At 40.5% G+C, this 14614-nt stretch overlaps 1 long non-coding RNA gene across 2 annotated transcripts; it reads left to right on the top strand.

The window, feature by feature from the left end:
- The first annotated feature begins 914 nt into the window (after positions 1-914).
- On the top strand, positions 915-8616 carry LOC124909383 (uncharacterized). 2 transcript variants are annotated; one of them, XR_007095918.1, is made up of 2 exons: positions 915-1559; positions 8344-8616. It is a non-coding gene; the product is annotated as an uncharacterized LOC124909383 (long non-coding RNA). The 2 variants fall into 2 exon arrangements; XR_007095919.1 differs by lacking the exon at positions 915-1559 and adding an exon at positions 7231-7340.
- Positions 8617-14614: the final 5998 nt, after the last annotated feature.

Raw genomic sequence — 14614 nt, 5'->3', positions numbered from 1 at the left:
TCAGTCCTTCAGGTTAGAATCCAGTGTCACACTGCCAGGGAAGCCCACCTTGACATCTTGTTTAAAAGGTTAAAACTGCATCATCGATGGCTCTTAGCCTGTTCTGTTTTTTCCGGTGACACTCGTCACCTTCCAATACTCTACATAATGGAATTATTGTCATGTTTATTGTTGTTTGCCTATCTCTGTCTCTAGAACGTAAGCTCCATGAGGCAGAGGCTTTATTTTGCCCACTGATATCTTCTAAACAGTGAGACCAGTGCTTGACTCCCAGAGGCACTGAAAAGTATTTTCTGAATATATGAGAAATGAACAAATGAGAAGGAAATGGGCTAATGCTGCTTGCTCATGGGTGTAGTTCAGGATGTAGAGTTGAGGTTTAGCTCTGCTCTCACTTTCCCAAAGGGTTTAGTTGAAGAATTTTAAATAGTCGGAGTTGGCAGATTTAGAAACGATATTTCTGGAAGGTGGAATTTCTAAGCACCGATGACATTCATGTGGCCAGGAGGATGGGGAGGAAATCCCAGCTGTAGATGCCTAGTCAGACTCCAGGCTTATGAGGCCCAATCCACCTCTGTGGATCTGGACATCACCTCTGTGCATTAGATGGTGCCCTCCCCCGCTCCTGGGAGGAGATGGCCTCCCCTGACGGCCTAGTTTCCTCAGCTAGGCCAAGTCGAAGTTGCCAAAGAGAGAGTGTGTGTGTGTGTGTGTGTGTGTGTGTGTGTGTGTGTGTGTGTGTGTGTGGCAGGGGGAGTTCCAGGGTCTTTTCCCAGGACCCACAACTTGGAAGAATTGGAGAAATGTTCCAGAATAGATATTTCTTTAAGTCTTATTCTCGTGGTTTCAGATTGTAGAACATCCAGTTCAGACCAGTTGAAGCCAAAAAAAAAAAAAAAAGGCATTTTTACTTATAACCCTTGAGTCCAGGAATATCTAACTTCAGTTATGACTGGATCCAGGGACTTAAATGATATCACTAGAATTCGCTTCTCCCCATCCCTCTGCTCTGCCTGCTGCCTCGTTGGTTTCATTCCCAGTCTCCTTGGTGTTTGACTGGCTACTCTAAGTTCTCATGATTATGACACGTCCAGAATGAGGGTGAGTTTCCCTACCAGCTCAACAAAAATCCAAGAGCATTGGCTTGGATTGGCCTGACTCATCCCATCCTCGAACCAATCCCGGGGGCTAGGGGAGTGGAGGAAGCCAACTGGTCATGCGCTGTAGCCCCAGACTCGGGTAGGGAGTCAGTGTCACTGGTTGACAATAAGGAAGGGAAGAGAAGTGGTCCTCAAATGAAAATTAGGATGTTATCATAGAAAGGAAGAGTGGATGCTGCAGAGGAAAGATAACAAATGACTATTACAATGGTGTAAAAGGAAACCCATAGAGAAGAAAGATGACAGAATGTCCCCACCTCAAAGGCCAGCTCCAGTTGATTGCTCGTGGCTCTCTGGAATGTCACATTGAGAAAGTGTCTGAGACTAAGCCAAAGAAAAATACAGTGTCATAATGGATTAGAAATGTCTGCCACGTGCTACAAAACTGTTGACTGCTAGGTATTTGTTTTTCCTTTATTTGGGCATTAGCCAGTGGAAATCATTATAAATGAAAATATATAGAAAGTGATGACTGTGCTGTGGTGACTCCTGAGACCTGCAGTGAGTTTATTTGTTAAAGTTCTTGTTGCATTATTATTCACCCACCCAGTCAGGACAAAGCGAGGGGCTCTAATTAACAAGGTAACTTGTCACCCTCAATGTCCCTCTGTGGTGCTGAGGCAAAGTGGCATTTAACCCTGCCTGTGTTCACTGGTGGCATTGCCAAGACTTTCCAGGATGTGGCCCTGATGGAGACTAGCATTTGATCAGTAATCACTTGCTTGTTCTTTTCCTCCCTTGCTTAACAAATATTGATCAAGCCCCAGTTTGTGATAGGCACTGTTCAGGGTACCACAGAAACAGTGGTGGGCCAAACAGATCTGGCCCCTCTCCTGCGAAGCTCTCAGCCCTCTGAGAGCAGCCCTGCTGGCTTATAGCTTCTTATCATGTCTCTTCTTATTCCTGGTTTGTCATTTTCAAAGATTCCATGTTCAGGTACATTCCATTCCAGCCCAGTGAAAATAGCATCAGATCTGTCTGGAAATGTCTCCACTCCTAACGTTGGGAGAGAACATCAGGTGGCTAAGACCAGCCTTTTCTCCCCAGTGTCCTTGAGAACATCAGTTCCAAGAAGATACTCCTCAACAAAGCCACCATTTAGAAGTTAATGGTAATGCTGGCAATTTATAGACACTATCCCATGTAACACTGTCAGCAATCCTAATAGACAAGTACTATTATTAACAACATCATTATGCAAAAAGGTAGCCAAGAATTAGGAAAGTTAAGTGATTTTCTCAAGTGCACACAGGTGACAAACAGCAGAACTGGGATCCAAATCCTAGTTAGGAACTAGGCTTCTAACCACTAGGCATGCCATGCCTAGGTACCACCATGCCATGAGACCTGGGAACAGAGGTGGTATGGTTTAATCACACATGCAGCCCCAATGGGTTTCATGGAAGGAGGAAGAGAGACTTAAGTGCATAGTCATTAATGATTTCATACGCAGTTATGCGTTGCTTAATACATTCTGCCAAATGCATCGATAGGCAATTTCATCATTGTGCAAATGACATAGAGTGTACTTACACAAACCTAGAAGGTATAGCCTACTACACACCTAGGCTATATGGTAGAGCCTATTCCTAGCAAACCTGTATAGAATGTTACTGTACTGAATACTGTAGGCAATTGTAACAGAATGGTAAGTACTTGTGTATCTAAACACAGAAAAATTATAGTGACAATATGATATAAAAGATAAAAAATATTATACCTGTGTATAAAATTTATTATGCATGGAGTTTGCAGGACTGGAAGTTGCTTGGGGTGAGTTAGTGAGTGGTGAGTGAATGTGAAGGCCTAGGACATTACTGTACACTACTGTGACTTTATAAATACTATTAATGTATACTTAGGCTACACTAAATTTATTGAAATATGTTTTTCTTTCTTCAATAAATTAACCTTAGCTTACTGCAACCATTTTACTTTTAATCTTTTTTTAATTTTATGACTCTTGTAACCACATAGTTTAAAACACAAACACATTGTACAGTTATACAAAAATTTTCCTTCTTTATATCCTTAGTTTAAAAGCTTTTTCCTACTTTTAAACATTTTTATATTTTTTACTTTTTAAACCTTTTTGTTAAAAACTATGAAACACACACACACACACACACGCGCGTGCGCACACATTAGCCGAGATCTACACAGGGTCAGGATCATCAAGACATCATTAGGTGATGGGAATTTTTCAGCTCCATTATAATCTTATGGGATCATCATCTTCTATGCGGTCTGTCTTTGATCACAGGCACATGACTGTATTTGTGTCTTCCTTTTCCTGGGATTAAAGTTATCTCATAGGTTATTAAGAGAAGACTATTGTGTATACTGGGTATCTCTAGTCATGAGGCATTAATTTTGCAAATAGCCCTGCAGACAGTCAAAGCATTTTGTAGCTCAAATAATTGATTGAGCATTAATGAATTGTGGATTTTTAAGTGTCTAGTGAGATTTCTATTTGCTTTAAGAGGATAGGACCCAAGCCCTGGCTTCATTTTTATGCCTCTCATCCTTCCTATATGGGATGCAATACCCCATGGATATAACCGTGCATGTATCCCAAGGACTTCTAGGACAGTCCTAATTTCCTCTACATTTCTTATTTTCAATAAAGAGAATTCTGGATGAGTTGAACTGAATGGGACTTAATTTTTACATCTTTGTAAGAATTTTTGTAAAAATTCCCAGACCAGAAAAATTCACTTTGCCGTTTTCTACTCTGCTTGAAGAAATACGTGTGTGTTTGTGTGTGTGTGTCTGTGTCTGTGTGCAAAAGTGTGTCTATATATTCATAGGATCTTTTTGGATAGAGCTAGGTTTTCAAATGTTTAGCAGAATATTAGGAGGTTTTTTTCTGTAATTCCTCAGGTAGGTGTTCTGCCAAGTGGACTGTTGTGTGTCCATGGTATTAGGGTTGTGGTTATTTCCTAAGTAAGTTTTACAATATCTTCCCAGAGCTTCCCATCCAAGTGGAACATCCATGTTTCTCAAAGAGAGAGCAGCTTCACCTGAAGGTGGCTCAGCTCTTGCCAAAGGGCCAGTACTGCCCATAAGAAGTCAACCCAGTGGGTCCACCTCACAGGCATTTAGGAATTTGGGGATGAAATTTAAATTTTGTAAGTTTCATATTTCAGAACCAAAAGAATGTAAAAGTCATGTAGGAAAGAGATTCTCCAGTTCCCTCCCTGACCAGGAATGTCTGGCAAAGTAGATTTTGTGATTCTGGAGGGGCTGCTTGTAAATGTTTCCTCATAGCAGAGCTGAAGATCATTATCTTGACATATAGTCATGCGTTCTGAAAGAGGATAAGCTTTTTCTTCTGGGTGAGGTCTGTGTTTTTCATACCTCTGAGGCCTTGGTGTCGTGACAAGAGAGGCCATCCAATGGTGAAATTTTTGGAGAAGTGGGTCATCGTGAATGTAGGTGCCAAGCGATCAATTTCCTCCTGGCTTTATGGGATGGAGCAATGGCTGGAGAGAGTCTAGGAAGGATCTCTTAATTGGAGTCTTGTCCTCAATCCTCCTACACATACTGCATGGAATGGAATAAAAGGGGTAAGATTCTATATCAAGTTATAAAAACTCAAGTCAAATTGAACTAAGCAAATGAGGTTTATAACCGCAAGTTATAAAAGTAACAAAAGCTCAAGGGTAGTATTGCTTCAGAAAACATATTTGAATGGAGACATTATGAAACTGTACCTCTGTAATTCCTGGCTCTGCTTTTCTTTGTGTTGTCTTCATTCTCAGGAAAGCTCTCCCTATGTGGAAGTAAGATGGCCATCAACAGCTTCAGGCCTCATTCTACCAACTCAGCAACCCCAATAGAAAGATAAATCCTTTTTCTCCAGTAGTACCCTCAAAAATCTCAAGGCTCACTCTTTTAATTTGACTTGGGTCTTCTTTATACCCGTGGAAGTGAGGGATGGAGTCAGCCTTATTTAATCCACATGGCCTGAGAGGAAGGGAACAATGATTTCCTAATCAAAACCTTAGGTTTCTGTGTCTGGAAGAAGAAGGAATGAGTGGATGACATTTAAATCAAATTAATTGAAAAATACTTTATGCACAATGACTATTGCCTTCCTGGAAAAGCAAAGAAGACTTTGAAAATCTTTCAACTTTATTGTTTTATTTCTGTGCTTTCATTCATTGATTTATTTAGCAATGCTATTGAATGCCCACCATTTAGAAGCACTGTGCTAAAAATCCAATGGTGGACAAGAAAAATATAATGCTTGTCTTTATGAATGTCCCAACCTTGCAGGGAAGCTGGTGTATAGGCCAAGTTATAATCAGTATGTAACGTGCTGAGTGGGGAAGCATAAGGTGCTAGGAAAGCACATAAGATGGAAACCCGTCTCCATCTTGAAGGGATGAAGTTTGAGCAGGAAATAGCCAAGTTCCACAGGGGCTGTGGCATAGAGGGAGGATCAGAAAGGAGAAAAGCATTTCAGAGGAAATAGAAGGTGCAAAAGCCTGGGAGCCAGGGAATAGGAGAATTGTATGTTTAGGGAACTGAAAGAAACTCACTTATGTTCAGAGACTCAAGACTTCCCTTTCTTTCTAGGGGAGCATAGAGTCAATGGTAGATGGCACAAGCAGGAGAAAGACTAGAAATTGGTAGAACTCCTCAGTCTGTTGACTTATCTTGCTACACTGTAGACTTAGACCTCACCTTGTTAACAGTGGAACCAGATACAGTAGACCCAAACTCAAATTAGGCACCTTATATCTATAGATATGTCATGGCACAGAGGGGAAAAAATATTTTGTTGTATTTTATTGTGTGAAAATGTCCCTAATAAGAGAACTGAGGATACAAGGTAGTATATCTTGGTGATGAGATTCAGTGTTGATTTTTAAATTTTTATTTCCATTTATTATCCACATTTTCCATGGATGAGCAGATATTAAAAGGGGGAAAAACCAAAATAAAAACTCTAGCAGTTAATCACCAAATGTTTATTCAATCATGAGGAAGGACCCTTCAAGAAGACAAGCGCAGAGCCCCTCAGCCTCCAGGAACTTGTTATCTGGCTTACTGGAGAGCATTTGTGATTTACAAATGCACTGTGGAGGAAGGAGCTCTTAACCACTGATAGGAAACCAGGAGCAGCTGGGTCTGGAGGGAGTTTTCTCTATAGCAACTGCCTTTTGAGTAAGTTCTTAGATGGGAAGAGGGCATTCCCTGGGAGACTGGAATGAAAGCAGTAAGGAAGAGAATTCTCCAGAATTCTCTTTCCTGCTTATGTCTCCATGAGATTGTTCCTATTTCTTACTGAACTGCGCTATAGTAGATACAAAAAAGTCAGAGGAAATAGGCCCAACCAGGAGCTAGGGAGTTCAAATGTTCATCTTTTCTAGCCAGGGAGGCCTCACATGACCATCATGAAAATGCAAAGGGAAATCAACAAACATAAACTAGAACTGCAAGGATAAGTGTCACACCTAGAACAGAGCCACAACAAAGGAATATCTTATGCTTACGTGGAGTCACCCTTCAGGAATGAGAAAAATAATCTTCTGATTCATATGTACAAAATGCCAAAGGCTTTACAATGAGACAACAAGATGACAGGAAAATTTTAAGCAACCCCAAGATTTGAAAATCAAAACTGGTAAAATATTATATCATCTGGGGTAAATATTTGCATTACAGAACAATCCTTTATCCCCAGGTAAATTTGCCCTTGGTGAAACAGTAGAGTGTCTTCTTATAGATCAGTAGACTTCAAGGTTGGAGCTAATGGGGGCACACAAAGTAAAGCTAAAGCATTAGGAGAAATAGAAATAATCCAAGTTTATGAGAAAAAAATGCATCCTTTAGTCAATGAGTAAGAAAGCAGAGTTTCACTTACTAGAATCGTTTGCATATATTTTTTAAAAATCTTCCTGAGAGCTTACAACTTTTACAATCATAATATAAAAGCTAAATATTTCTTCAGTTGAAGGAAAAAAATGAGTTGAGTTTTCCAGCTGCAATCTGCTCAGCTAGTCAAGGATAGTAAGAGAAAGGATTGATAAAAGTACAAATCAGCAGTGTTATCTTTCAGGCCTAGGAAGCTACCAGTGGCTGGTTTGGTGGTTGCATTTATAGATGATCTATGTGTAGCAGCATCAGAAAAGGGACAGGTTGTCGTTCCCTTCACCACTCCTGCCTTGGGTGAGTATCATGTAAAAAGAACACATTTGAAAGCAGGACCTGGGAACACTTGGGAGATGAGATTGATTCATTTCACAATTTTGAAATAGTCACCAGCTACCCAAATATATGATACTGAAGATTTTTTTTTTTTTAAGCTGGAAGAATTGATTCCTGGATGTTGGCTAGCTCTTCCTTTGTGGTATTCGAGGTCACTAGCCAATGCAGTGTAAGAGTGTGATTGATTGCAATGCTATCATATATTATAATAATAAAAGACGTGTTACTGATACCATAAGAGCTATTTTTATCTTGTTCTTCCCTTATTTTTCATCTGTATCAGTGTGGTTTATGTAAACCTGACACATTTGTATATGTGAAACAGATGCAGAATAAAGCACAGTTGTGTCTGCTCAAAACATATTTTTTAAATCATAGACGTGATTTATGAAAACGTTCTTTGCATATAAGATTTTTCTTTCTCAAAATGCACAATAATTATATATCTACATTTATTTTTTTCTGGTACTTAAGAGGGCTAGGAAAAAAAATGAAATTTTTAAGTTGCTTTGCCTGATCTGTCTTCATTAGCTGTAAGAAAAATAGCATGCGACTTTTCTGCAGATGCAGATTAGATGTCTAGAGCTGCTCTTGCTATTCAAATACATGCTAAGGAAATAGTCCTTTCCACTGCATGGAGCCACACCCCCCTAAAACGCCCTCCGCTACCCAGGTCCAGGTGCTGCTTCCTCTGCCATCTCACAGTGAATGGCAGAAAGAAAATGAGGATCTTTCCCGTCCTTCCCCACAACTCAGTAACTCATGAAGTAAGTTTGCATGAGAGAGGTTAAGGAATCCATGTGCTCCTTATCTCTGCAAATGGCCATTATCCATCAGATTTCTCAGACCTAAAACTCAGGAGTCTTCTTCACCCTCATGTCTGATCGATGACCATGGGTTGAGAGATTTTATTTCCTTAATGTTTTCATAATCTACCTACTTCTCTCTGTCTCTGCCACTACAGACTACAAAACCCTGGACCAAACCATCACCAGCTGTCTCCTGGACATAGAACAGTTTTCAACTACTGTCCCCAAATCTATTCTTGCCCTCCTGGACCCTCTACTGTGCTGCAGCTAGTATGATCAGAAAAGACAGGGAAGAGTTACCAGTCCCCAGGAAAAGCTGTGGCTGTAGGAAAGGGCTCTCTGCCAGGAGCCCCTGAGTGGAATCAATGAAGGAGTAGGCCTGCAGTAGAATGAATGAATGAATGAATGAATAAAGAATAAATACCGCAGCCTGTCTGTCCTCTCCTTGTTTCCATGTCCTCTGGCACCTTCCATTGACTAAACCCAACTCAAATGTAGACAGCAGGAAGGCCCAGGGAATGAACTTTATAGAGGTCGGCCTCCTGGGATAGAGAGAAGGATGGAGAAGGGCAGAGAGTGGATCTGGTGGGGGCACACAGAACAGATGATAAACCATGCATAGCTCCTCTGCTCGAAACCCTTCTGATGGTACCCCACTGCGCTGAGGTTTAATGCCTACTGTCCTATCTCAAATAGAAGTCAATGTGTTAGAATTAAAGAAAAAAAGAATTGTAGTTTTCTTACTTTTCCTAGCTACAGTAAGAAGCTGATGGCTAATGAGATGCTGCCAAACCTTTTAGAAGAGTCTCAGAGGTTAGCACATTGTTCAAATGGATGTTGTTATATTGTTATTTAAAGAGCTTCTAGATGGTCTCCGCTGTCTTGTTCCTGTAGCTGCTTTCTCTTAACATCCCGACATCTCCTCTATCTTGGTTGGTGCAAATGTGAATGCCACCCCAGTCCCATAAGAATGATCCTGAGTCTGAATTTGTTTCCATCAGTAGAGTTGAGCTTGTCACTGGGTTTCATGCGAAGATGTATCAGTCGGTTCTCCTCAACACAGTTAACAGTTTGTTCTAACATACCTTCTTACCCCTTGTAAAGAGGTGGATATTTGCAAGATTAGTTTTAAATTGGCATGTGCATTTACCATGCGAAGACTGATAGCACTTCAAAAGCACTTTTAAAGAAAATTATGATCTCTGCTTCTATCATCTATTTATGCCACAGCTTTGTTCTAAAAATATTACAGGAAAGCGGAAAGCGGTCCCAATCCAGACCCCAAGAGAGGGTTCCTGGATCTCACACACGAAAGAATTCAGGGCAAGTCCATAGTGCAAAGCAAAAGCAAGTTTACTAAGAAAGTAAAGGAACAAAAGAATGGCTACTCCATAGACAGAGCAGCCCTGAGGGCTGCTGGTTGCTCATTTTTACGGTTATTTCTTGATTGTTTGCTAAACGAGGGGTGGATTATTCATGCCTCCCCTTTTTAGACTATATGGGGTAACTTCCTGATGTTGCCATGGCATTTGTAAACTGTCATGGCGCTGGTGGGAGTGTAGCAGTGAGAATGACCGGAGGTCACTCCCGTCGCCATCTTGGTTTTGGTGGGTTTTAGCAGGCTTCTTTACTGCAACCTGTTTTATCAGCAAGGTCTTTATGACCTGTATCTTGTGCCGACCTCCTATCTCATCCTGTGATTTAGAATGCCTTAACCATCTGGGAATGCAACCCAGTAGGTTTCAGCCTTATTTTACCCAGCTCCTATTCAAGATGCAGTTGCCCAGGTTTACACACCTCTGACAAAAAGACTTGAGATCGTCTTTTCTTTTTCTCTTTCTTGCCCTTCTTTCCTGCTTGCCCTTCTTCTCTTTCTTTTTCCTTCTTTCTTTTCTTCTATGTTCTCATTTATCTCCATCTTCTAGACCTTTTCACCTTTTCCTAAGAAGAGTGCCTTATCTTCCTTTTAAATTATTATTTTTTAAAGTATAGTGATGTACAATGTAAAACAATTACAGCCCTTGGAATTAACTCCTATTAACACAGCATGTATGGTTCTAGTCTTTTTCTACAAGAGGAATTTATAAGAGAACCCTTTCTGTCCCATTTAACAAAGAGCCCAATGTACTTATATATATGCCTTTACAATTATAGAGATTATATATGAATTCACTACCCTAAAACAAAATTAAAGCATTGCATTCAAAGCTGAAGGCTCCTTTGATTTCTACCCCCATTTTCACCAACCTTCCACATGACCCCAGGCCAGTGCTATGAGATTATACCCATGTTCCTATAAGGGTATTTAACAATGTAAACTTTTTTCTGTTTCCTCCCACATCCTGTCATTTGATCATTGCAGTAATTCCTTGTAGTTATTAGGAGCAAAGAGGTGTGTTAACCCCATTTTACAGGTGAGAGGCTGAGGCTCGTGGATGTTCTGGAAGTGTTCATATGCTGTGCTCACATCTGCTTAGTGGCATCACGAGCCCTTTCCTTAGGCTTCGTTGCAATCATGAAGATGGATTTGTAAAGAAACCCATCCCCTAAGGATCTCCAGATTTGTCTTCTCCCTTTTCCTCCTCTCCTTCCTGTAACTGGCCCATTTGGAGAAGAGCCTTTGTTTGCCTTCTTGCTTTGCTGACCCTCTCTGCTGCTCCTGCATGGCTTCCCTGTTAATGGAAGGGCTGGCATCCCTGCACCTTGGTCATGCCCAATTCATTTTAGTGGACTGGGTCAGCCAAGCCAAAATTTACTCAGGCCCAAAGCCACTGGGCAGGGTCTTTTACAACATCCACAGCAGCAGCCAATGAGGAGGCTTGTGTAGTTCAAGTTCATTGCCTTTTGGGATTGATGCCCAAGGCCTTTGGGACGGGTCCATTGCATTCCTTTGTAAGGTACAGTGACCACCTCTTGGGCAGCTTGGGAGTCCCATGGATTCCAATAAGGCCAGCTGGTGTCATTTCATTGGCACTTAAGGTTGGAAGCCACCCCTGGGCTTTTCACAGGATTTGGAACCTTCACCCTGCAGCTCAGAGTCCTCATTAAGCAGCCAACTCCACATGGCTCTTTAGAGGAGAGAGGCTGTAAAATACATGCGGGGAGGATTCCGGAGAAATTTGTTTAGGTGTTACCTTCCTTTGTAGCCTTTCAAAATTCATCTTAGAATTGTAACCAACTGAGGACACGTAGGCTGGTCTAAAACATGTCATCTAAACCAGCAAGCCCCAATGTTTTTGACACCAGGGACTGGTTTCATGGAAGACAAATTTTTCCACAGACTGGGGGGTGTGGAGGGTATGATTTAGGGATGAAACTGTTCCACCTCAGATCATCAGGCATTAGATTCTCATAAAGAATGTGCAACCTAGATCCCTCACATGCGCAGCTCATGATAGGGTTTGCACTCCTATGAGAATCTAATGCTACCGCCGATCTGACAGGAGGCAGAGCTCAGGTGGTGAGGCTCGCTCACTCCCGCTCACCTCCTGCTGTGTGGCAGGCCATGGACTGGTACCAGTTCATGGCCTTGGAGTTGGGGACTCCTAATCTAAACCATATGCATCATCTGGAATGATTCAGAGGAAAACCAGGATGGGTGTCACCCCACCTCTAGTGTCCTATCCACCTTTGGCTGAATTCATTCACCTTTTCCATAGATCAATTTACTTTTTAAAAAGCTTGAATTTCTTCTTTGCTGATTAGCCAAGGTATTTAATTGATGGATTTGTGTTTGGGGTGTCCTAGGGCTGTCAGAATGCAGTTGTAGTTAAAAGCAAAATTTTGGAGTCAGACCTGAGTTTGGATTCTGGATTTACCCCGTGCTGTAAGTAATTGTGAATTACTTTTTCAAAAGAGTCAGTGAAAATTAATGGTGAAGAGAAGGGAGTATGGAAACAGAATGCCCAGTTGCAACTTCAACTCCCCTACTTCTAGATGAGTGACTTAGGCAAATCACTTAACCACACTGTGTTACAGTTTTCCCATCTGTAGAATGAGGATAAAAACAGCACTTAACTGCAGCAAAGTTGTAGGATGCAACAACAACACACAAAAATCATTTGCATTTTTATACATTAACAATGAACAATCTAAAAAGAAAAGAGGACAATTCCATCTGTAATAGCATCGAAAAGAATAAAATACCTAGGAATAAACAACTGAAGAGGTGAAAGATTTGTACATTGAAAACTACAAAATATTGCTGCAAAAATTAAAGATACAGATAAAATGAAAGACATCCCGTGTCCATGGATTAGACTTGATATTGTTAATATGTCCATACTACCCAAAGTGATCTACGGATTAATTGCAATCCTTATTAAAATCCCAATGACATTTTTTTTTTTTTTGCAGAAATAGAAAAATCCCAAAATTCATATGGAATCTCGGGGGACCCCCAATAGCCAAAGCAATCTAGAAAAAGAACAACATTGAATGTCTCACACTTCCCAATTTCAAAACTTAATACAATGCTATGGTAATCTATGCTGTGTGGTAGTGGCATGATGACAGACATAGAGACCAATGGAATAGAGTAAAAAGTCCAGAAAGAAACCCTTGCATATATGATCAGATGATTTTCTAATTGGCATCAAGACCATGAAATGAGGGAAAGGATAGTGTTTTCAACAAATGATATGGGGAAAACTGGATATCCACATGTAAAGAATGAAGTTGGGCCCTTACCTTACACCATATAAGAAATTAACTCAAAATGGATCAGAGATCTAAATGAAAGAGCTAAAACTATAAAACTCTTCAGGAAAACAAAAACTTCGTGGCATTGGATTTGGTAATGATCTCTTGAAAAGGACACCAAAAGTAGGGGCAACAAAAGAAAAAAATAGGTAAGTTCAACTTCATCAAAATTAAAACTTTTGTGCATCCAAGGACACCATCAGCAGAGTGAAAAGGCAACCCATGGAATGAGAGAAAATACTTGCAAATCATTTATCTGATAAGGGATTGCTATTCAGAACATGTGAACTCCTACAACTCAACAACAGAAAAACAAATGGCCTGATTATAAGTGGATAAATAACTTGAATAGACATTTCTCCAAAGAAGAGACACATATGGCCAATCAACACATGAAAAAAAATATGTTCAACATTACTAATCGCTAAGGAAATGTAAATCAAAATGACAATGAGATATCACTTCATACTCATTAGGATGTCTGTTATTAAAACAAACAAAAACCTGAAAGTGGTGGTGAGGATGTGGAGACATTGGAAGCCTTGTGCGTGGCTGATGAGGATGTAAATGAGACAGCTATTGTGGAAAGTAGTATGGCAGTTGCTCAAAAAATTAAACATAGAATTACTATATGATCCAGCAATTCCGCTTCTGGCTATACATTCAAAACAATAAAAAACGGGGACTCAAACAGATATTTGTACACCCATGTTTATCACAGCATTATTCAAAATAACCAAAAGGTAGAAACAACTCAAATGTCCATCAACAGATGGATAAACAAAATGTGGTATATACATATGATGGAATATTGTTTCACCTAAAAAGTAAAAAATTCGGACGCATGCTACAATATGGATAAACCTGAAATCATTAAGTCAAATAAGCCAGCACAAAACGACAAATACTGTATGATTACACGTTTAAGAGGTATTTACTTAGAGGAGTCAAATTCATAGAGACAGAAAGTAGAATAGTGGTTGCTGGGGGTAGGGGAGGGAGTTTGGGAAGATGAAAAAGTTCTGGAGATTGATGGTGGTGATAGTTGCACATTGTATTAGTCCATTTTCATAGTGCTGTGAAGAAATACCAGAGACTGGGTGATTTATAAAGGAAAGAAGTTTAATTGACTCACAGTTCCACATGGCTGGGGAGGCCTCACAATCATGGCAGGAAGGGGAAGGGGGAGCAAAGTCACATATCACATGGCAGCAGGCAGGAAGGGGAAGGGGCAGCAAAATCACATCTCACATGGCAGCAGGCAAGAGAACGTGTGCAGGGGAACTGCCCTTTTTTAAAAAAAGTTATTTTTTTGTCCTTTGTAGGGACATGGATGAAAATGGAAATCATCATTCTCAGTAAACTATCGCAAGAACAAAAAACCAAACACCACATCTTCTCACTCATAGGTGGGAATTGAACAATGAGAACACATGGACACAGGAAGGGGAACATCACACTCTGGGGACTGTTGTGGGGTGGGGGGAGGCGGGAGGGATAGCATTAGGAGATATACCTAATGCTAAATGACGAGTTAATGGGTGCAGCACACCAGCATGGCACATGTATACATATGTAACTAACCTGCACATTGTGCACATGTACCCTAAAACTTAAAGTATAATAAAAAAAAACAAATAACAATTAAAAAACATTATTTTTTTGAGACAGAGTCTCGCTCTATTGCCCAGGCTGGAGTGCAGTGGCACAGTCTTGGCTCACTGC

This window comes from Homo sapiens, chromosome 3 (genome assembly GCF_000001405.40).
Source record: "Homo sapiens chromosome 3, GRCh38.p14 Primary Assembly".
NCBI classification, from domain to species: Eukaryota; Metazoa; Chordata; class Mammalia; order Primates; family Hominidae; genus Homo; species Homo sapiens.
The sequence above is the reverse complement of the archived record's forward strand: the minus strand, read 5'-3'. Positions and strand labels throughout refer to the sequence as shown.